Source organism: Homo sapiens, chromosome 3, assembly GCF_000001405.40.
Source record: "Homo sapiens chromosome 3, GRCh38.p14 Primary Assembly".
Lineage (NCBI taxonomy): Eukaryota > Metazoa > Chordata > Mammalia > Primates > Hominidae > Homo > Homo sapiens.
In genome coordinates, this window is record NC_000003.12 from 33,515,181 (window position 1) to 33,537,196 (window position 22,016).

Consider the following 22,016-nt stretch of genomic DNA (forward strand, 5'->3'; position numbering starts at 1 on the left):
ATATAACCAAACACCATCTGTTCCTCAAAAACCTATTGAAATAAAAAAAATAGTCCCTATTTGAACATTTTTTTTCTAATTCTTTCAATCCTCATAGTTACCTAATCGATGTCACTGGTGAAGAAGGGGAGAGAGATATCATGGCTACCAAGTACTATGAAACAGGTTCACGGAACTCTTCCATGAAAGCTATCCTCACTACTTTGGTGAATAAACTTGCAACAGATATATAGCTCCTCTAGGCAATTTATCACTTAAAAATAACAATGACCTGCTTGGGCAACATGGTGAAACTTCATCTCTACAAAAAATACCAAAAATCAGCCAGTTGTGCTGGTGCATGCCTGCAGTCCCAGCTACTCGGGAAGCTGAGGTGGGAAGATCACTGGAACCGGGAGGCTGAGGCTGCAGTGAGCTGTGATCACACCACTGCACTCCAGCCTGGGCGACAGAGTGAGATCCTGATTCAACAAACAAACAACCCCCCCAAAACAATGATTTCTTATCTTCATTAGTTATTTTAAAAAATCAAATTCTTATTGCTAAATGAAAAGTGAAAATAAGATTGCTAAACTCTAAGTAGAAAACTAAAAGTGAAGTGAAGGAGAAAACAAAATAAAATAAATTATTTCCTAGAGCTGGCCTGTTTTAGGTGAAAGGTCATGATATCACTGTTTAATTCATTTAATAGAAAAAAATATGCTTGCATCTCGATCAGGTATTACCCTGAATGTCAAGGCAAATGTTCAAGAAAATCATTAATAAGGCTACATTTTACACAATGGTTACATGTTTCATGAAATAAAATAATGGAATAATACTTTACCGGCCAGGTAACTTACCTCCTTATGAGGATCTTTATGTGCTTCCAATGTTTTCATGACAGTCAATTCTGCATAGTTTTTAAATCTTGCTGGTTGATGCCTTAGGATTTCTCTTAAAACCTTTAATGCCAAAGCCCTGATTGTAGGCTAAGAAGAAACATTTAAATGTTTTTAATATTTTGGGTTGTAGATAATCTTTAACATTTTCAATTTTTGTAACTTAAGGGTCTTAATATTGGGGGAGGAGTTGTAGATAACTGCATAAAGTATGCGGTATACTATGTAATTAAGTTTTCTTATCTCTAATTGAAAATTTATATTATACTTATTTTATTTGCAAGAAATCAAGAACTACATTCAGACTATAAAAAGAAGTTTTGGAGCTGGGCACGGTGGCTCATGCCAGTAATCCCAGCTCTTTGGAAGGCTGAGGTGGGTGGATCACTTGAGTTCAGGAGTTCAAGACCAGCCTGGCCAACATGGTGAAACCCCATCTCTACCAAAAACACAAAATTAGCCGGGGGTGGTGGCACGTGCTTATAATCCCAGCTACTCAGGAGGCTGAGGCAGGAGAATCACTGGAGCCTGGGAGATGGAGGTTGCAGTGAGCTGAGATCACACCACTGCATTCCAGCCTGGGCTTGAGAATGAGTGAGATTATTCCTCAAAATAAATAAATAAATAAATAAATAAATAAAAGTTGCTCCTGAACAACTAATCTAAATATGTAAAACAAGTAACATGTACTTTTCTATAAGAATTCAGCCTGCGACCTTTCATTTTTCCTGTTAATTGTTCAAAATTGTTGAGCTACTTGGTTTAGAAGAAAAAGTACTTCACAGTGAAAAGTTCATGCAGAAAGCAGCAGCAGAAGAGATTCATTCTCCCAATTGCTAAATCCGTGTAGCATTAGATTAACAGGCAATGTAAAAGAGACAGGAAGGAAAGGCTACTGTTTACATATTTTGCCATTTACCTCTTTATCTCCAAGCGTTTCAAGCAATAAAAGCAATATTGTTTTGAAGTGTTCATCCCAAACACTAAAAGATTCTTCCTGTGTCAGTTTCATAAGTTCATAGAGGGCAATTTTTCTTTCTTCTACACGCTCATTATGGTTAGACAGCTCCTTCAACAACTCTGCAACTAGGTCAGAATGATCTAGGGAAAGATCTGTCAAAAGGACATGGTATTAGTTCTATAACTTTATAGGGTGACTCTCACAAGTATGGGGATAACAACTTTATATGATGAAACACAGATATAACCATCATGTTTGCTGTAAAAAAGACAAAGAAAAAAGACATTAAGTAATCTTCTTTTCAATTTTGTCATTCCCAAAACACTGGTGCTATCTTAAAACTTTGTATAATAAAAATACACAAAAGTGAGACCAGTATAATGAACCCTTATATTCCCATCACCCAGATTTAACAGTTTTTAAGATTTTACCATTCTTACGTCATCTTTGTCCCCTCTTCCCTTTTATCTGAAGTATTTCTAGCAAATCCCATATATGTCATTTCCTCTTTATATACTTCAGTATGTATTTCTATGGTTTCATGCCAGGAGGCTTAAATGGCTTTTAGGGATGATAAAAACGACCACTGGATTTAGGTAGTGACAATCTAATCCCACCATTGTAAACTTCTCCATAAATCATCCCCCTTTTTTTTCTGAGACAGGGTTTCACTTTGTCGCCAAGGCTGGAGTGTAGTGGTGTGATCATGGCTCATTGCAGTCTCCACCTCCCAGGCTCAATTGATCCTCCCAACTTAAGCCTCCTGAGTAGGTGGGACTACAGGTGTGTACCTACACACCCAGCTAATTTTTGTGGAGACGGGGTTTCGCCATGTTGTCCAGGCCAGTCTGGAACTCCTGGGCTCAAGTGATCTACTGGCCTCCCAAAGTGTTGGGATTATAGGCATGAGCCACCATGCCCAGACTATCAATCTTTTAACCAAAGGTTTCAGTCACTGATTGTTGTTGAATCAGTTATTTTAATATGAGTTAAAAATGGTGATTATCTAATCATACCACTCCTTCCATGGGGTAGAATTCTTCTGTAGAGAATAACTTTATCAACTAGACCTATTCTGATTATCCTGAAATACAGTTTTATAGAAAAAGCAGAACAGATTCTTAATATAGTTCTCTTTAAATTTTAGCATCAAGAATTGGGCCCAGTGGTTACCAAGGAGTTTTGATTTGTTTTTGCCTTCTTTTTAAAAGCATAATTACAAACTCATGGATTTTATAACCATGAAAAGTCACTCACTGCTTATTTTTAAACAACTTATCAGACAGTGCTTTAAATCATTTTTGTAGGAATAACAGTTAAATCTAAGAATCCACATTTGAATGTAACAAAATACCAGAGTTCCTCTTAAATTTTTTTATGATCAAATACACTATAAATTCAGACCTTGAGGGATTTCAGCAGGTAGTGCCCTGGGCTTGGGCCATAGACTAATTTCCTTCCCATCTCTCTGGAATGAAACAACCACAGAGCACGCTGCAGACCAATATAACACTATTGCTGGTTTTAACAAGAACTATTGCCAGCAGGATGAATGTGTCTCTATAAACCCCACAAAAAATCACTCCCGGAAATTTATAACTTATCAGACTTTCAAAGATGTTAAAGGATCATTCTAAGAGTGTCTTTTATTTCAGCTGGATGAATGTGATTCACAAGAAAATGCTTTTCACGGTAGTCAGTTATCTTTTCCATGAAAGTAAGCTTTGTAATTACTCTAGCAGATAATTAGAAATGACCTGACATATAATGATCTGGACAGATGACTGGCAGAAAAATAATTTCTTCCAGAGAAAGCACAGATTGTTACAAAACTGAATTATCTATATGAATGAGATAATCCAAAGTTGCTGAATTTTTCCTCTTCTGACAGAGAGCAGCACCATGGTCAAGTGAAAAGAACATAGGCTCTGTAGTCTCATTAAATCTCTGCTTCTTATACTCTGTGATTGGAGCAGTTTCCTAATTATTGCCAAGGTGCAGTTTTATTATCAGTAAAATGGGAAAATAGCATCTGCCTCCTAGGGTCATGGTGAGGACTTGGGCCTAGAATACAGTAAGATCATTAATATTAATTTTCCTGTGTCCTTCTGACAAATATTGACACAATTACAATTCTGATAATATTTTTGTGGCAGTGCTCAAGAAGTACAAAATAGTCTTTCAGGTTGGCAAACTTTTATATGAATCTTTCCTGAATAACTGCACTATCCTCACTAGAGGTAATATTCTAGAATATTATAGTTCCTAGTAAACTTTACAAAGGTTATCAGTGGCTTTTTTTGGACTTGTTAACTTTGATAAATGTGTGTGCCCGATTGTAATGTGGGCAGAAACACTGGGTGAGAGACATAATCAATAGGTATCAGATATTGAAATAATTTCTATAAAAGTTATAGAAATTCTGACTTGAATAATTATCTTTTGCTAAATTTTAGATTTTAAAAACAAAAAAGGAGGAGAAAGTGCATGGGGGAGGAGAATAAAAGAAAAATCAGAACAGAAATAGAGAACAATTTAAAAAAGAATAATGTTAACAATGTTCATAATAAAATAATGTCAAACAGGGTCTTCCTCATCTCAACATTAAAAATGAAAATAGATAATAAATGAAAACAACTGCCATACAAAGCATGGGACTACTACTGCTTTAGTTTTTTTTCTTTTTTCTTTTCTTTGTACTACAGTAGTTTAACTGAGGGCTTATCCATCTTCAAAGAATGTTTACTCAACATAAAATGGCTGCCTATGTTTCAGAAGTAAATCACACATTAGACTATGATGAAGTAGTGTTCCCAAGCTCAAAAATACTATACCCAATTTAGATTTCAGTTATAGTTTCCAAAAACGTCTTCCTTTACCAAATATAAAATATGTGATCCTTAGTAAAGGAGAAGAGAATTACAGAACAAGGGAGTGATCCTGATAAACTGTCATAATTTTGGCTTTATGATATTTTTGATATGTTATCTCTCTCTTTTCTTTTTTTCTGAGACAGAGTCTTGCTCTGTCACCCAGGCTGGAGTGCACTGGCGTGATCTTGGCTCACAGCAACCTCCACCTCCAAGGTTCAAGCCATTCTCGTGCCTCAGCCTCCCAAGTAGCTGGAATTACAGGCACCTGCTACCACGCCCAGCTAATTTTTGTTAGAGATGGGGTTTCATCATATTGGCCAGGCTAGTCTCGAACTCCTGACCTCGGGTGATCTGCCTGCCTCGGCCTCCCAAAGTGTTGGGATTACAGGCGTGAGGCACTGCAGCTGGCTGATATATTGTCTCTTGACATGAGAAGCTGGTAAAAGTAATCAAAGAAATGCAAAGGATAATTTTTAAAAAGTTATCAAAATTACAAATGACCAGGCATTAGTACACAGATTCCCAAACAAACTATAAGGAGGGTATCCACTGGTGAATGTATCAGCTTTCAGCCCAGACAGGTAGGAAGGCTGTCCACATAGAGTGGTAATCAGGTGTAAGCTGCTGGAGCCAAAGTGGAATAAGAAGGGCATTCATGGTTTTGAGTGAGGATGGAATGGCAAAGCCTAGCAGGATGAGGAGTAGATCTGTGCAAGTAAGGAGGTAATAGCAGAGATAGCAGAAAAACTGGTAGCATACAGAGGACTGATCAAATTGGTAAACATATTAAAGATAACGAAAGCTAGGTTTCTGTCAGAAAAGTGGGTTATCAATCTGGAAATTAGAATTTCCTTGGTGCCAGAATGGAACTACTAGTGTAAAAACATGGTTTTTGATAGATATGGAAACAGAGATGTAAATCTCTACACACACACACACACACACACACACACACACACACACACACACTCCCTAGCTCTGCCCACTGAGAGGTCTGGGGAGCAGTGACATATCACTAACAGTGAGTACATCTAGAGTCCAGATCTTAGCCTTTAAAATCATCTTCCCTTAATAGGAACAATGGATCCCTGAAGAAATGATTGATTCCAGGACTGAAGCACAGGGATAGTACAACAGTACCAGAATGCAAGGATGGGGACATGTTAGAAGAACAACAAAAGCCGGCTTGAATGGAATCCTGTTGGTCAAATCAAGGGCAATTTGAGCTTCAAAATAAATAAATAATGATTGTTATAATGGGAAACTATGAGTCCCTACTGTTACAAAAATGTATGTCAATTTTCTCAAATAAATTTTCTAGAATAGAAAATAAAAAATTTCCTAAATAAATGAATTCAAGTTTGATGAAAAGAATATGTAACCTGTTTAAAAATATTAGTATCTCCTGATAAAACACTTAATTACAAAAAGAAAAAGTAATTTCACAGTAAAGAAGTCTGGTAAGCCCCACCATAATCAAGAGATCAAAGTTAACATCACCAGTGATGGAGCACAGTGAAACCATGTGTTACTAGATAGGGTGCAATGAAAAGAATGCACCATCACTTCTGCAATACTGATGCAAAGAATGTATAACCTGATTCTAATCATGAGAAAACATCAGACAAAACTACATTCAGAGAAATGCTACAAAATAACTTCAAAAGTGTCATGGTCATGAGAGCTAAGGAAAGACTGAACACTGGAGGAGAAGAACACTGATGGAGACATGATGATTAAATGCAATGTGTGGTTCTGAAATGGATCCTTTAGCTGTAAGATATTATTGAGAGATTCTGGGAAGATGGTAGATTAGGAAGCATCAGGACTCTGTCTCCTCAACCAGACAACAGAATCTGTCTGATGTAACTATTTTGGAACTCTAGTCTACTGAAGGCTTAGAACTTCTAGGGAAGGTCTTGGATGGTAAAGTGTGGTTAATTTCTATCAATTTCAGCTCTCAGTACAGTAGCAACTACCCACTCCCCCCTCCACCAGCCCCAGCCCCTTGACAGGCAGCTGTGCACATGTTGCTGGAGCAGCTTGCACACAGCTTGTGGGAATCAGGGCATGAAAAAAGAACCTTATCCTGCGGATACTGAGGACCTGTGCACTGTTGACTGCTGCTTTTTTTTTTCTTCCAAAGACCCTTTCCAAGTCCTAGTCACAGCTGCTTCTGATAACAGAGGTACAGACAAAGAGGCTGGCAGCCATTATTGTTGCACCTTTCCTCACTATTGCAAGCCCTTCCCCCTCTAGCTAAAGTGACTTCCAGGGGCTTAAAGGTCCTGCCCCTCCTTTTTCATTTTTCTCTTTTTCCTTTTTGGGAGCCAGACATTAAAGACCAGCATATTCAAAAACAACTGCATACACATGGAGAGTTAGAAAGTGACAATGGATGCCCAGAAAAAGGTACAGGCTCAGAAAGGATCTGAGAAGACTTTATACCTCAGGCTGAGGCTGATCTTTGGCATAGAGAAAGCCTGCAACAATCAGAACCAGAATCAACAAGCAAAAATAACAAAAGCCACCAATCTCTGGGGTATTGAGAGAATCTGATTTCCAATGTAACCACATTATTAAGATTCAAATATCCAGTTTTCAACAAAAAAATCACAAGGCATATGAAGAACCAGGATAATACAGCATACTCAGAGAAAAAATAAATAAACAGAAACTGCCCTTGAAAAAGATCTGATGGCAGATCTACTAGACAAAGATTTTAAAATACCTGTCTTAAAGATGCTCTAAGAAGTTAAGATGTGTATAAATTCATGAAAATAATGTATGAACAAAATGGAAATATCAGTAAAGAGATAGAAAACCTAAAAAGAAACCAAAAAGAAATTCTGGAATTAAGAAGTATGGTAACTGAAATAAAAAATCCAATAGTGGCCGGGCGCAGTGGCTCACGCCTGTAATCCCAGCACTTTGGGAGGCTGAGGCGGGCGGATCACAAGGTCAGGAGATCGAGACCATCCTGGCTAACACGGTGAAACCCCGTCTCTACTAAAAACACACACACACAAAATTAGCCAGGTGTGGTGGTGGGCGCTTGTAGTCCCAGCTGCTGGGGAGGCTGAGACAGGAGAATGGCACGAACCCAGGAGGCGGAGCTTGCAGTAAGCTGAGATCGCGCCACTGCACTCCAGCCTGGGAGCCAGAGAGAGACTCCATCTCAAAAACAAAAAACAAACAAACAAACAAATTCACTAGTGTAATTACTTAATAAGCATATTTGAGCAGGCAAAAGAATTAGTGAGCAGAGCCTAAGGGATATGTGAGACATCATCAAGTGAACAAATCTACTCATTGTGGGAGTATCAGAAGAGAACAGAAAGACAGAAAAACTATTTGAAAAAATTATGGCTGAAAACCTCCAAAATTTGATGAAAGACATGAACATAAACATATAAGAAGCTCAATGAATTCCATGTAAAATGAACTCAAAGAGAGCCACATCAAGACACATGATAATCAAACTTTCAAAAGGCAAAGACAGAATCTTGCAAGCAGCAACAGATAAGTGACCAGTGACATAAAAAGGATCCTCAGTAAGATTATCAGCAGATTTCTCATTAGAAACGTTGGAGGTCAGAAGGTAGTAGGCTGATATATTCAAAGTGCTAAAAGAAAAAAACTGTTAACCAAGAATCCTACATCTGTCAAAACTGTCCTTCAAAAGCGAGGGAGAAATTAAAAGTACTCTAGACAGTAACTTGAAACCATATGAAGAAATACAGATCTCAATAAACGTAAATATATACATTGGCAATTATAAAAACTACTATTATTGTAATAACAGACTGTAACTCCATTTTTTGTTTTCTACATAATCTAAGAGACTAATATAGTAAAAGACAGTTTATATTTCTGGAGACAATTGTATAAAGACGTAATTTTATAATGCCAACAACTGAAAAGGGTGGGGTCAGAGCTGGAAAAGCACAGAGTTTTTGTATGTTATTGAAATTAAACTGGCATACATTTAAAGTAGCATTATAAATTTAGGATATTAAATGTAACCCCCATGGAAACAACCAAGAAAATAGCTATAAAATATACACTAAAGGAAATAAGAAATTTAAACATTTCACTACAAAACAACTAAACACAAAAGAAAGTAATGTAAAAAGTGACAGGCTATAAGGCATACAGAAAACAAATAGCAACATGACAGAAGTAAGTCCTTTCTTATCAGTAATTACTTTAAATGTAAACGAATTAAATCACCCAGTCAAAAGACAGAGATTAGCAGACTGGATGAAAAAGGACAGAAAGATATTCTATCCTTTTGCAAATAGTAATTACTATTTGCCTGGTATATCAATAGTAATAGTAATAGGTATATCAATAATAGTAAAACTATTACTATTTGCATGGTATATCAATGGTAATAGTAATAGGTATATCAATAAGTAATAGTCAGAGAGCAGGGGTGGCTATACTAATGCCAGACAAAATAGGCTGGGTGCGTTGGTGCATGCCTGTAATACTAGCACTTTGTGAGGCCAAAGGAGGCAGATCACTTATCACTTAAGCTCAGGAGTTTAAGACCAGACCAGGCAACACAGTGAAACCCCATCTCTACTAAAAATACATACAATTAGCCAGGCGTGGTGGCATGTGCCTATAATCCCAGCTACTAGGGAGGCTGAGGTGGGAGAATCCACCTGAGCCCACAAGTTGAGGCTGCAGTAAGCCATGATTGAGTCACTGCATTCCAGCCTGGGCAATGAAAGTGAGACCCTGTCTTAGGATAAAAAAAAGAAAAATAATAATAATCAGACAAAATAGACCTTAAGTGAAAAACAGGTTACAACAGATAAAGGAGGAGGACATTATATATTAAAAAGATTCAATATGCATCAAGAATAAATAACAACTATAAACATGTATGCAGCTAATGACAGACCATCAAAATATATGAAGCAAAAACTGACAGAATTGAAGGGAAAAATAGTTTTACAATAATAGTTGGACTCTCACTATTGGATTCTCACTCTCAATAATGGATAGAACAAAGAGACAGAAGTAAGAAAACAGAGGACTTAATACAATAAAACAACTACATCCAACAGACATATATGGTGCACACAGGACATTTTCCAATATAGGTTATATGTTGGGACACAAAGTAAGTTTCAACAGATTTTAAAATATGGATATAAAACATAGTATCTTCTCCCACCACATGATGAAGTTACAAATCAGTAACAGAAGTAAAACTGGAAAATTCACAAGTTTGAGGAAATTAAACAACACACTCTTAATGGATCAAAGAAATTAGAGAAACTAGAATATAGAGAGACAACTGAATAAAAACAACTACATACCAAAACTTATGGAACACAGTGAAAACAGTGCTAAGGGGGAAATTTATAGCTATAAATGTGTTAACTTAAAAATGAGAAAGGATAAAGGGGCAAGATGGCTGACCAGAAGTAGCTAGTGTACATGGCTCTCACAGAGAGGAAGGGAAGGGGTGAGTAAACACACACACCTTCAACTCAAACATCCAGGTGCTCACAATGGGACTAATCAAGGAAACAACTTGACCCACAGAGAACAAAGAAAAGTAAGACAGGACAGCAGCCCACTAGAGAGCAACACCGAGCCAGGGGAACCTCCCCTGCCTAGGAAAGCGGTGAGTGAATATGTGACTCCAGGGACCATGCTTCTCCCACAGATCTCTGCAACCCTCAGGTCAGGAGATCTCCCTGTGAACCCACTCCACTAGCCTTCAGTCTGTCAGAACTATGTGGAGTCTTGGCAGAGGAGCCACTCAGGCATGCATGGAAACCCTGGAGCCTCAGATACTCGGGCTTTCAGGCAAAGGTAGCTACAGCTCCGGCAAAGTGGGAGGTTAGACCCCTGTACATAGCCTTAGGAAAGAGGCTGAATCTAGGGGGCTGAGCAGTGACAGCCTGCAGCCCCACTTCCACAGCACCTCACAAGATAAGACCCACTGGCTTGGAATTCCAGACAGCCACCGTTAACGGCACTGCACCTCCCTAAGAAGGAGCTCCCAGCGGGAGGGGCAGGCTGCCATCTTTGCTGTTTGGGTGACTTGGCTGATCCAGTCTTCCGGCTTTATAGAGTTTGATCTGACCAGGGGGCGGAAGGGATTCCTCCAGCATAGCTGCTCCACCAAAGCGTGGGCAGGCTGCTGCTGCTGCTTCTTCTTTTTTTTTTTTTTAATTTATAGCTGGGATTACAGGTGTGCACCACCATGCCCAGCTAATTTTTGTATTTTTAGTAGAGATGGGTTTTTACCATGTTGGCCAGGCTGGTCTTGAACTCCTGGTGTCAAGTGATCTGCCCTGCCTTGACCTCCCAAAGTGCTCAGATGTCATAATACACAGAGACTCAAAATAAAGGTATGGAGGAAAATCTACCAAGCAAATGTAAAACAAAAAATCAGAGGTTGCAATCCTAATTTCAGACAGAAGAGATTTCGAACCAACAAAGATCAAAAAAGACAAAGTAGGACATTACATAATGGAAAAGGGTTCAATTCAACAAGGAGACCTAAGTATCCTAAATATATATGCACCCAACACAGGAGCACACAGATTCATAAAGCAAGTTCTTAGAGATCTACAAAGAGACATAGATTCCCACACAGTAACAGCAGGAGACTTCAACACTCCACTGATAGTATTAGACAGATCATCAAGGCAGAAAATTAACAAAGATATTCAGGACTAAACTCAACATTGGACCAAATGGATCTGACAGACCTTTATAGAACTCTCCACCCCAAACCAACAGAATATACATTCTTCTCATCATCACATGGCACATACTCTAAAATTGCCCACATAATTGGATATAAAACAATCCTCAAGAAAAGTAAAAGAACCAAAATCATACCAGACACAAGCTTGGACCACAGCACAATAAAAATAGAAGTCAAGACTATGAAAATTGCTCAAAAACATGCAATTATATGGAATTAAACAACACGCCCCTGAATTACTTTTGGGTAAATAATGAAATTAAGGCAGAAATCAAGAAGTTCTTTGAAAACAATGAGAACAAAGATACAAGACATTAGAATCTTTGAGATACAGCTATGGCAGTGTTAAGAGGTAAATTCATAGCACTAAATGCCAACATCAAAAAGTTAGATCTCAAAATAACAACCTAACTTCATAACTGAAAGAATTAGAGAAGGAAGAACAAATTAACCCCAATGTTAGCAGAGGACAAGAAATAAAAATCAGAGCTGAAATGAAAGAAATTGAGACACAAAACATCTTTCAAAAGATCAATGGATTCAGGAGTTGTTTTTGAAAAAATTAATAAAATAGATAGGCCACTAGCTAGACTAACAAAGAAGGAGAGAAGATCCAAATAAACACAATTAGAAATGATGAAGGGAATGTTACTACTGACTGCACAGAAATAAAAACCATCAGAAACTACTACGAACACCTCTATGCATATAAACTAGAAAACCTAGAAGAGACAGATAAATTCCTGGACACATACACCCTCCCAAAACTGATGCAGGAAGAAACTGATTCCCTGAACAGACTAATAACAAGCTCCAAAATTGAATCAGTAAAACACAGCCTACCAATAATAATAATAAAGCATGGGATCTGATGAATGCACAGCTGAATTCTACCAGATGTACAAATAAAAGCTGGTACCATTCCTACAGAAATGATTCCAAAAAAGTGAGGAGGAAAGACTCCTTCACAACTCATTTTGAGGCCAGCATCACAGAATGATACCAAAACCTGGCAGAGTCTGGGTACTGTGGCTCACACCTGTACCCCAGCACATTACAACAACCTGTAATCCCAGCACTTTGGGAGGCTGAGGCAGGCAGATCACCTGAGGTCAGGAGCTTGAGACCAGCCTGGCCAACATAGTTAAAACCCATCTTTACTAAAAATACAAAAAATTAGCCAGACGTGGTGGCATGCACCTGTAATCCCAGCTATTCAGGAGGCTGAGGCAGGAGAATTACTTGAACCCAGAAGGTGGAAGTTGCAGAGAGCCGAGATCATGCTGCTGCCCCCCAGCCTGGGTGACAGAGCGAGACTGTCTCAAAACAAAACAAAAAAAACCACAACAACAAAAAAGAAAACTTCAGGCCAGTATCCTTGATGAACATCAATGCAAAATCCTCAAGAAAATACTGGCAAACCGAATCCAGCAGGACATCAAAAAGCTAATCCACCATGGTCATGTAGGCCTCATCCCTAGATGCAACGCTGGCTCAACATTCACAAATCAATGAATGTGATTCATCACATATACAGAACTAAAGACAAAAACCACATGATTATTTCAATAGACACAAAAAAAGACTTGACAAAATTCAACACTGCTTCATGCTAAAAACTCTCAATAAGCTAGGTATTGAAGGAACATATCTCAAAATAATAAGAGCCATATATGACAAACCCACAGCAGCCAACATTATTCAAAATGGGCAAAAGCTGGAAGCAGTCCCCTTGAAAACTGGCACAAGACAAGGATGCCCTCTCTCAACACTTCTATTAAACATAGTTTTGGAAGTCCTAGCCAGAGCAATCAGGCAAGAGAAAGAAATAAAGGGCTTCCAGGTCAGGCATGGTGGCTCACATCTGTAATCCCAGCATTTTGGGATGCCGAGATGGGTGGCTCACTTGAGGTCAGGAATTTGAGACCAGCCTGGCCAACATGGTGAAACCCCATCTCTACTAAAAATACAAAAATCAGCCTGGAGTGGTGGTGTGTGCCTGTAGTCCCAGCTACTTGGGAGGTTGAGGCAGGAGAATTGCTTGAACCCAGGAGGCAGAGGTTGCTGTGAGCCAAGATTGCGCCACAGCACTCCAGCCTGGGTGACAGAGCAAGACTGCATCTCGAAATAAAGAAAGAAAGAAAGAAACAAAGAAGGAAAGAAAGAAAGGAAGAAAGAAAGAGAGAAAGAAAGAGAGGTCGATAGACAGATAAAGGGCCTCCAAACATGAAGAGAAAGTCAAACTATCTCTGTTTGCAGACAACATCATTTTATATTTAGAAAACCCCATAGTCTCAGCCCAAAAGCTCCTCAAGCTGATAAACAACTTCAGCTAAGTTTCAGGATATAAAATCAACATACGAAAATCACTAGCATTCCTATACACCAACAACAGCCAAACCAAGAGTCAAATCAGAAAGGCAATCCCATTCACAACTGCCATAAAAAGAATAAAATACCTAGGAATATAGCTAACCAGAGAAGTGAAAGAGCTCTACAATGAGAATTACAAAACACTGCTCAAAGAAATCAGAGAAGACACAAACAAATGTTAAAACATCCCAGCTCATGGATAGGAAGAATCAACATCATTAAAATGACTATTCTGCCCAAAGCAATGTACAGATTCAATGCTATTCCTATCAAACTACCAACGACATTCTTCACAGAACTTGAAAAACCTATTTTAAAATTCATATGGAACCAAAAAAGAGCCCAAATAGCAAAGGCAAGCCTAGGCAAAAAGAACAAAGCTAGAGGCATCACGTTGCCTGATTTCAGACTATACTACAAGGATACAGTAACCAAAACAGCATGGTACTAGCACAAAAACAGGCACATAGACCACTGAACAGAATAGAGAGCCAGAAATTAGACTGCAAATCTGTGAGCCATTTTACATTCATATTTGAGGAGCCATCTTCTATCAAAGTTTTTAAAAATTTTTAAACTTTTTTGTTAAAACCTAAGACACAAACACACACATTAGTCTAGTCCTACACAGGGTCAAGATCAACTTCACTGTCTTCCACCTCCACATCTTGTCCCACTAAAAGATCTTCGGCCGGGCGCGGTGGCTCACGCCTGTAATCCCAGCACTTTGGGAGGCCGAGGCGGGTGGATCATGAGGTCAGGAGATCGAGACCATCCTGGCTAACAAGGTGAAACCCCGTCTCTACTAAAAATACAAAAAAGCCGGGCGCAGTGGCGGGCGCCTGTAGTCCCAGCTACTCGGGAGGCTGAGGCAGGAGAATGGTGTGAACCCGGGAGGCGGAGCTTGCAGTGAGCCGAGATTGCGCCACTGCGGTCCGCAGTCCGGGCTGGGCGACAGAGCGAGACTCCGTCTCAAAAAAAAAAAAAAAAAAAAAAAAAAAGATCTTCAAGGGTAATAACATGCATGGGGCTGTTATTTCCTATGACAACAATGCCTTCTTGTGGAATACCTCCTGAAGGACCCGAATGAGGCTGTTTTACAATTAACTTAAAAAAAAAAATAAGTATGAGTACACTCTAAAATAGTGATGAAAAGTACAGTATAGTAAATACTAAAACCAGGCTGTGCATGGTGGTGCATGCCTTGTAATCCCAGCATTTTGCAAGGCTAAAGCAGGCAGACTGCTTGAGCCCAGGAGTTTTAGACTAGCCTGGACAATATCACAAAACCCTAACTTTACAAAAAAAAATTAGCCAGGCATGGTGGCGTGTACCTGTTGTCCCAGCTATTCAGGAGGCTAAGGTAGGAGAACAGCTTCAGCCCAGGAGGGTGAGGCTGCAATGAACCAAGATCATGCCACTGCACTCCAGCCTAGGTGACAGAGTAAGACCCTGTCTCAAAAATAAATAAACAAATAAATAAACAAACCAGTAACGCAGTTGTTTATTAAGGATATTAAGTATTATGTATTTCACATAATTGTATGTGCTATATTTTTATACAGTTGGCAGTGCAGGTTTGTTTACACCAGCATTATCACAAACGTGTAATGCATTGCACTATGATGGTATGACAGCAATGATACCACTAGGTAATAGGAATTTTTTAGCTCCATTTTAATCTTATGGGACCACTGTCATAAATGGAGTCTGACACTGCATGAAATGTTATGTACTGCATGGCTGTACATCGGAATTAACCAAGGTGAAAGACTTGTACAATGAAGACTAGAAAAGACTGCTGAAAGAAATATAAAAGAAAATACACATAAATAGAAGCACATCCCATTTTCATGGATTGGAACACTTAATAATGTTAAGATACCAATATTATCCAAAGAGATCTACAGATTCAGTGCAATCACTACCAAAATCCCAATGACACTTTTTACAGAAATAGAAAAATTATCCTAAAATTCATAAGGAATCTTAAGTGACAGCAAATAGTCACAACAGTCTTGAAAAAGAACAAAGCTAGAGGACTCATACTTCTCCCTGATTTCAAAATTTACTACAGAGCTACAGTAATCAAAACAGCATTTTAATGGCATAAAGACAGACACATAGAACAAGAATAGAATATACAGCCCCCAAAGGCACAGGCAACAACAACAAAAATAGGCAAATTAAAGTTAATGAAAATTAAAAATTTCTGTGTCTCAAAAAATAATATCAACAGAGTAAAATGGCAACCCACAGAATGGAAGAAATATTTGCAAATCATATATCTGACAAGATATTAATATCCAGAATATACAGAGAACTCCTGCAACAACAACAAAAATAAACAACCTGATTCAAACATGGGCAAAGGAATAGAAAAGACATTTTTCCAAAGATGGTAATCAAATGGCCAATAAGCACAGGAAAAGATGCTCAGCATTACTAATCATTAGGGAAATGCAAATCAAAACTACAATGACGGCCAGGTGCAACGGCTCATACCTGTAATCTCGGCACTTTGGGAGGCCGAGGAGGGTGGATCACCTGAGGTCAGGAGTTCGAGACCAGCCTGACCAACATGGACAAACCCCGTCTCTACTAAAATACAAAAATTAGCCAGGCATGGCGGTGCACACCTGTAATCCCAGCTACTCAGCAGGCTGAGGCAGGAGAATTGTTTGAACCTGGGAGGTGGAGGTTGCAGTGAGCCAAGATCGCGCCATTGCACTCCAGCCTAGACGACAAGAGCGAAACTCTGTCTCAAAACAAAAACAAAAACAAAAACAAAACCTACAATGGGATATCGCCACACATCCATTCAGATGGTTACTATAAAACAACAACAGCAACAATGAAATAACTAGTATTGGTGAGGATATGGGAAACTGAAACCCTTCTGCACTGGTGGTGGGGAAGTAAAATGGTATACCTGCTATGGAAAACAGTACAGTGTCTTCAAAAAATTAAAAACAGAACTACCATATGATCCAGCAATTCTACTTCTGGGTATTTACCCATCAAAATTGAAAACAGGGTATTGAAGAGGTATGTGCACACCAATGTTCATAGCAACATTATTCATAACAGCCAAAACTTGGAAGCAACACAAGTGTCCATCAGTGGATGAATGGATAAGCAAAATGTGGCATATACACACAATGGAGTATTATTCAGCCTTACAAAGGAAGAAAATTCTGACATATGCTACAACATGAATCAACCTTGAGGATACCACGCTAAATGAAATAAGCCAGTCACAAAATGACAAGTAATGTATGACTCCACTTATAGAGTACTTAAGAGTAGACAAAAATCAGAGAGACAAGAGAATGGTAGTTGCCAGGGGCTGGAGTGGGGGTGGAATTGGGGAGTTATTATTTAATTGGTATAGAGTTTCAGTTTTACAACCTGAAAAGAGTTATGTGAGATGGATGGTCTTGATGGATGTGCAACAGTATGAATATATTTAATATCACTAAACTGTATATATAAAATGCTTAAGATAATAAATGTTATGTGTATTTTAACACAGCAAAACAAATTGGAAAAAAGATATTATTGGGACAGCTGGCAAAATTCTAATGGGGTTTTAAGGATTAGGTGGTTATTAATGTACCAATGATAATTTCCTGATTTAAAAAATTCTGTGGTTTAGGGGGAAGAAAAGAAATTTTATTTTTTGTAATTATTAGTTTTTTAGAGACAGAATCTCATTTGTTGTCCAGTCTTTAGTATGGGACTCTTCACAGGCATCATCATAGTATACTGTAGCCTTGAACTCCAAGCCTCAAAGGATCCTCCTGGCTCAGCCTCCTGAGTAGCTGGGACTACTGGCACTGGCTAATTTCTTGATTTTGATGAGTATTTTGTTGTTATGCAGGAGAATGTCTTTGTAGAAAATAAATCCTAAAGTGTTTAACGTGACAGAGCATCAGGTTGGTAATTTACTTTCAAATGTTTCATGAAGAAAAAGTTCTTTGTACTGTACTCCCAATTTTTAAGCTCTTGATCATTTTAAGATTAAAAAATACATATTTATAGTACAATCAAGGCAAGAAAAGTCAGTTGACATTTAGTCTGACAGTTTGTGACCCATGTGCATAAATGATTTTTAAATAATTAATGCTACTGAAGCTAAGTCTCAATTTACCAGGCTGTTGCTACTACATAGTATTCAATGGATACTTTCATGCTATGTCCAATTTATTCACCAATGTTACACCACTATCATGACTAAACCTCAGAAAGACAGTCAACTATTTGTGACAGATTAAAACACATCAAAGTCTATAATTGTGGCAATTTTCTACATCCTTATGCAATTTGGACTTAGTTTGGTAAACTGTCATAATTTTGGCTTTTTGATATTTGTGAATATATTAAAGAGAAGGTAACAAAAACACTCCTCAACTTTGCTAGTAATCAAAGAACTACAAGTGAAGCTATTTCTTGTTAATAAAAATTTTAAAAATTTAAAAATATCTCTAATATTTAATTCCTCAATATCTAATAATCAAGGAAATGTACATTCATCACAATCAGAAAAATTTTTAAACATTCTGTGTTGGTGAGAAAATCAGCATTACTTAAACTAGCCAACTATTCTGAGATGTAAATAGGTAGTAAGTTTAAAACTTTAAATTCACCTATCCTTTAAGTGAGCAATTCCATCTCTAGAAATCTCTTAAAAGTGAATTATCTTTATTGCTCTTTTTTTTTGAGACAGGGTCTCACTCTGTTGCCCAGGTTGGAGTGCAGTGGTGCAATCTCGGTTCACTGAAACCTCCACCTCCCAGGGAGTTCAAGCGATTCTCCTGCCTCAGCTCCCGAGTAGCTGGGATGACAGGCGCGTGCCACCACGCCCAGCTAATTTTCATATTTTTAGTAGAGAAGTTTTCACTATGTTGGTCAGGCTGGTCTCGAACTCCTGGCCTCAAGTGATTCACCCACCTCGGCCTCCCAAAGTGTTGGGATTACAGGAGTGAGCCACTGCGCCTGGCCACTGACTGTTCTTACGATGCCTGACACACACAAAAAGAATTATTTATGGGCATAAAGGTTTATGCAGAAATATGTTCACTGACAGCAACATTATGGGAATAAAGAAAAACCTGAATATAGAATCATGGGATAGTGTTGAGAGAAAGACTTTCAAGTTTATCTGTGTATAGTTATATATTACTATATAGTACTAGAATCTTAAGAAAAGTATTAATGAATTAAGTAATTAAGAAAAAATATGTTTCCTTATTATAAAAAATAACTAGGACAGGCACAGTGGCTCACACCTACAATCCCAGCACTTTGAGAGGTTGAGGTGGGAGGATCACTTATGGCCAGGAGTTCAAGACCAGCCTAGGGAACATAGGGAGGCCCCATCTCTATAGAACATTTATTTAAAAAGGTAAAATTAGCTGAGTATGGTGGTCCGTAGTCCCAGCTACTCAGGAGGCTGAGGTGGGAGGATCGCTTGAGCCTACGAGGACAAGGCTGCAGTGAGCTATGTTTGAGCGACTACATTCCAGACTGGGCAACAGAGTGACACCCAGTCTCTTAAACAAAACACTAAAACATTTGTAGTGTTTTGTACTATATCATCAGTTTTTATACAACTTACCTGCATCTTACTGCACACTGGGATTAGGTAGTATAATCATCATCATCCTCTTTTGGAGGTGATAACTGAGACTCGGGAAAGTTAACCATCTTGCCAGGCTATGCAGCTTAGTAAGTGTTAGAGCTTAGAACTAAGCCCATTTCACCCAAATTCAAATCCTAATGGTAACTTTCCTTATATTTCGTCCTTGAAATGTATTTTATTAATAAAAAAGTTTATGACTTCATGCTTAAAGGGCTACTATAAAGAATGGGTATTTCTTCAAAGGTTTTGTCATCGTGGTATAAAAATTAATGACCAAATAAATTGTGTCTAGAGGTAAAGTAAATTTATAAGCTACAATTGGTTTTAGTTATTTCTGGGTGGTAACTAAGGTTTTCTTGATTTTGATCATGATCTCAAGATGACTACCCTGTTTCTCATTCAGGAGAAGAAAATGACCAAAGCACTAGAGATGAGTTCCTAGAAGATGGGAGAAAACATTCTTATTCTAAAAATTGTTACTTTTTGGGAGTTATAATAAAAAAGCATATGCATTTCTTTTACTTCATCAATTACCAAGTTCTCCAAAACAGACAGTAGCAGTGTGACCCAGAACATACCGTCAGGAAACTGGTCAGCATCATCATCAAACATGGCTTCCTTGAGGGCAGACTTGTTGAAGGGACTGATGCTATCTGAATAGTTATATGGATTATAGTCTCGAGAGCGTGGAGAGGAGTGAGTAGGCATTGAATGGAGCAATGAAGCTTTATTATCAAGAGCTGTTTGACTTGAGTCAGTAGCATCACCTCCTGCTCTTGGGTCAGACATCCCAGGACCACCACACATCTATCAATGGGAAGTGAAAGCCACAGCAAATTAACTCATTTTTCAAGTATCTATTTAACATTCTAAAAAGATATTTCTCTACTGCTTAAAAGACAATTTTAAAAAGATAACAATAACCAGCTAAAAAATTTAAGTAATGGCAATCAACATTATGAGTTACAATTTATATTCCAGACGTCAAAGCTTAAAAATATAAACTACAGCTGTGAAGGCAAATAAGAACTGTAAAAGAATGCTGCCTCTAATGATTATTACAGTTCCCTTGCAAACAACTTGACCAGACAATATGTACAGTGTGATTACCAGCAACTTCTCCATGTCAGTTAAAGATACAAAAGAACTTTCATAAGCAATACAGTACTACAAGCTGCCAGATTCCATTATTAAGGTAATGGTATATCATACAACAGTATGTCAAAAAAGCATAATAAAATCAAATTTAAAAAGGCTTGCTTTAAGGAGAAAAAAAAAAAAAAGAAAGGCTTAAAAGGCCTGCATAACTTTTGGAAGGATGCCAAAAGAATTTGGGTACATACTTATCAAAATATGAATATGAATATTGATACAAATACTGGTATCAAAATAATTACTACCATGGGTATCAGCATCACCACCATCCACTGGGCAACTATGTGCCAAGCCATTTGCTAGGCACTTTACAAATATTCTTAAAATATTTACTATGCACATATTATATGCCTGGCATTGTTCACAGCATTGGGAATACATCAGTGAGCAAAAGAGAGAACGATGCCTACCCCAGTGGAGTTTATATTTTAGTGGAGGGACAGACCAAAAAAAAAAAAAACTTAATGAACGAATAAAGTATACGACATGTTAGAAGAAGGAATCATGAATGCTGAGGTGGGAGGATGGAGTTCACAGATTAAATAGGATGAGTAGGGTTCACTGAGAAGCCACTTGAATAAACACTTGAAGGAAGTAAGGGAATCAGCCAAGGGGCTATCTGGAGGTAGAGTGTTTCAGGTAGAGAAAACAGCCAATACACAGATCCTGAAGCAGGAACGTGCATAGTAAGTTCAAGGAATAGCAAGGAGGCCAGTGTGGCAGGAGCAGAGTGAACAAGGAGGAAACTAGCAGGAGATGAGGCCAGAGAGGTAACAGAAAAAAAGCCTATTGTATAGACTTTGGTTTTTACTCTGAGACAGAGACCTCCTATAGAGTTGAGTGAGAGTGAGAGTGGACTATAGGAGGTCAAGGGCATAATCAAGGAGGCCAAATTTTAATAATCCAGGTGAGAGAAATGATGAAGATGATGGCTCAAACCAGAAAGGCAGTGGTGAGAATAGGCTGAATTCTGGATACATTCTGCAGTGGAGACAAAAGATTTCCTGACAGATTTGGTATGGAGGATGAGAAAAACAGAGGTCTCAACAACTCTTGTCCATGGATTTTGGCTAGGCAACTAGGGTTGCCATTAACTAAGATAGGAAAGAGCAGCTTTAGGGGAGAAGACCAGGAGTTCAAACAGGCAGCTGAATGTGAATGTGGAACTCAGGAAAGAGGTCTGAGCTGAATAGAGTCATAGGATTTATTATACTTACAACAACTTTTAAGGTAAGCAGTGATATCCCTATTTTCTTAATGAAGACATTGAAGCTTAGAGGTGATCACCTGATTAGCTAATAACTGCCAGGAACCGGGATTTGAACTCATTTCCCAAAATTCACAATTTGAGTTCCCTACCCTGTACCATGCTGTGTCTAAAAAACCA

General features: G+C 38.3%; 1 protein-coding gene across 81 annotated transcripts in view; it reads right to left on the bottom strand.

The window, feature by feature from the left end:
• CLASP2 (cytoplasmic linker associated protein 2) overlaps positions 1 to 22,016 on the bottom strand; it is a 222,010-nt gene that overhangs the window by 18,936 nt on the left and 181,058 nt on the right. For all 81 annotated transcript variants that reach the window (NM_001375713.1, NM_001400406.1, NM_001375705.1 and 78 more), the window contains 3 exons: positions 20,053 to 20,281; positions 1,801 to 1,994; positions 843 to 971 (listed from right to left, as the gene is read on the bottom strand). In NM_001375713.1, the coding sequence (NP_001362642.1) occupies positions 843 to 971; positions 1,801 to 1,994; positions 20,053 to 20,281 (552 nt within the window). The remainder of the gene's footprint in view (positions 1 to 842; positions 972 to 1,800; positions 1,995 to 20,052; positions 20,282 to 22,016) is intronic.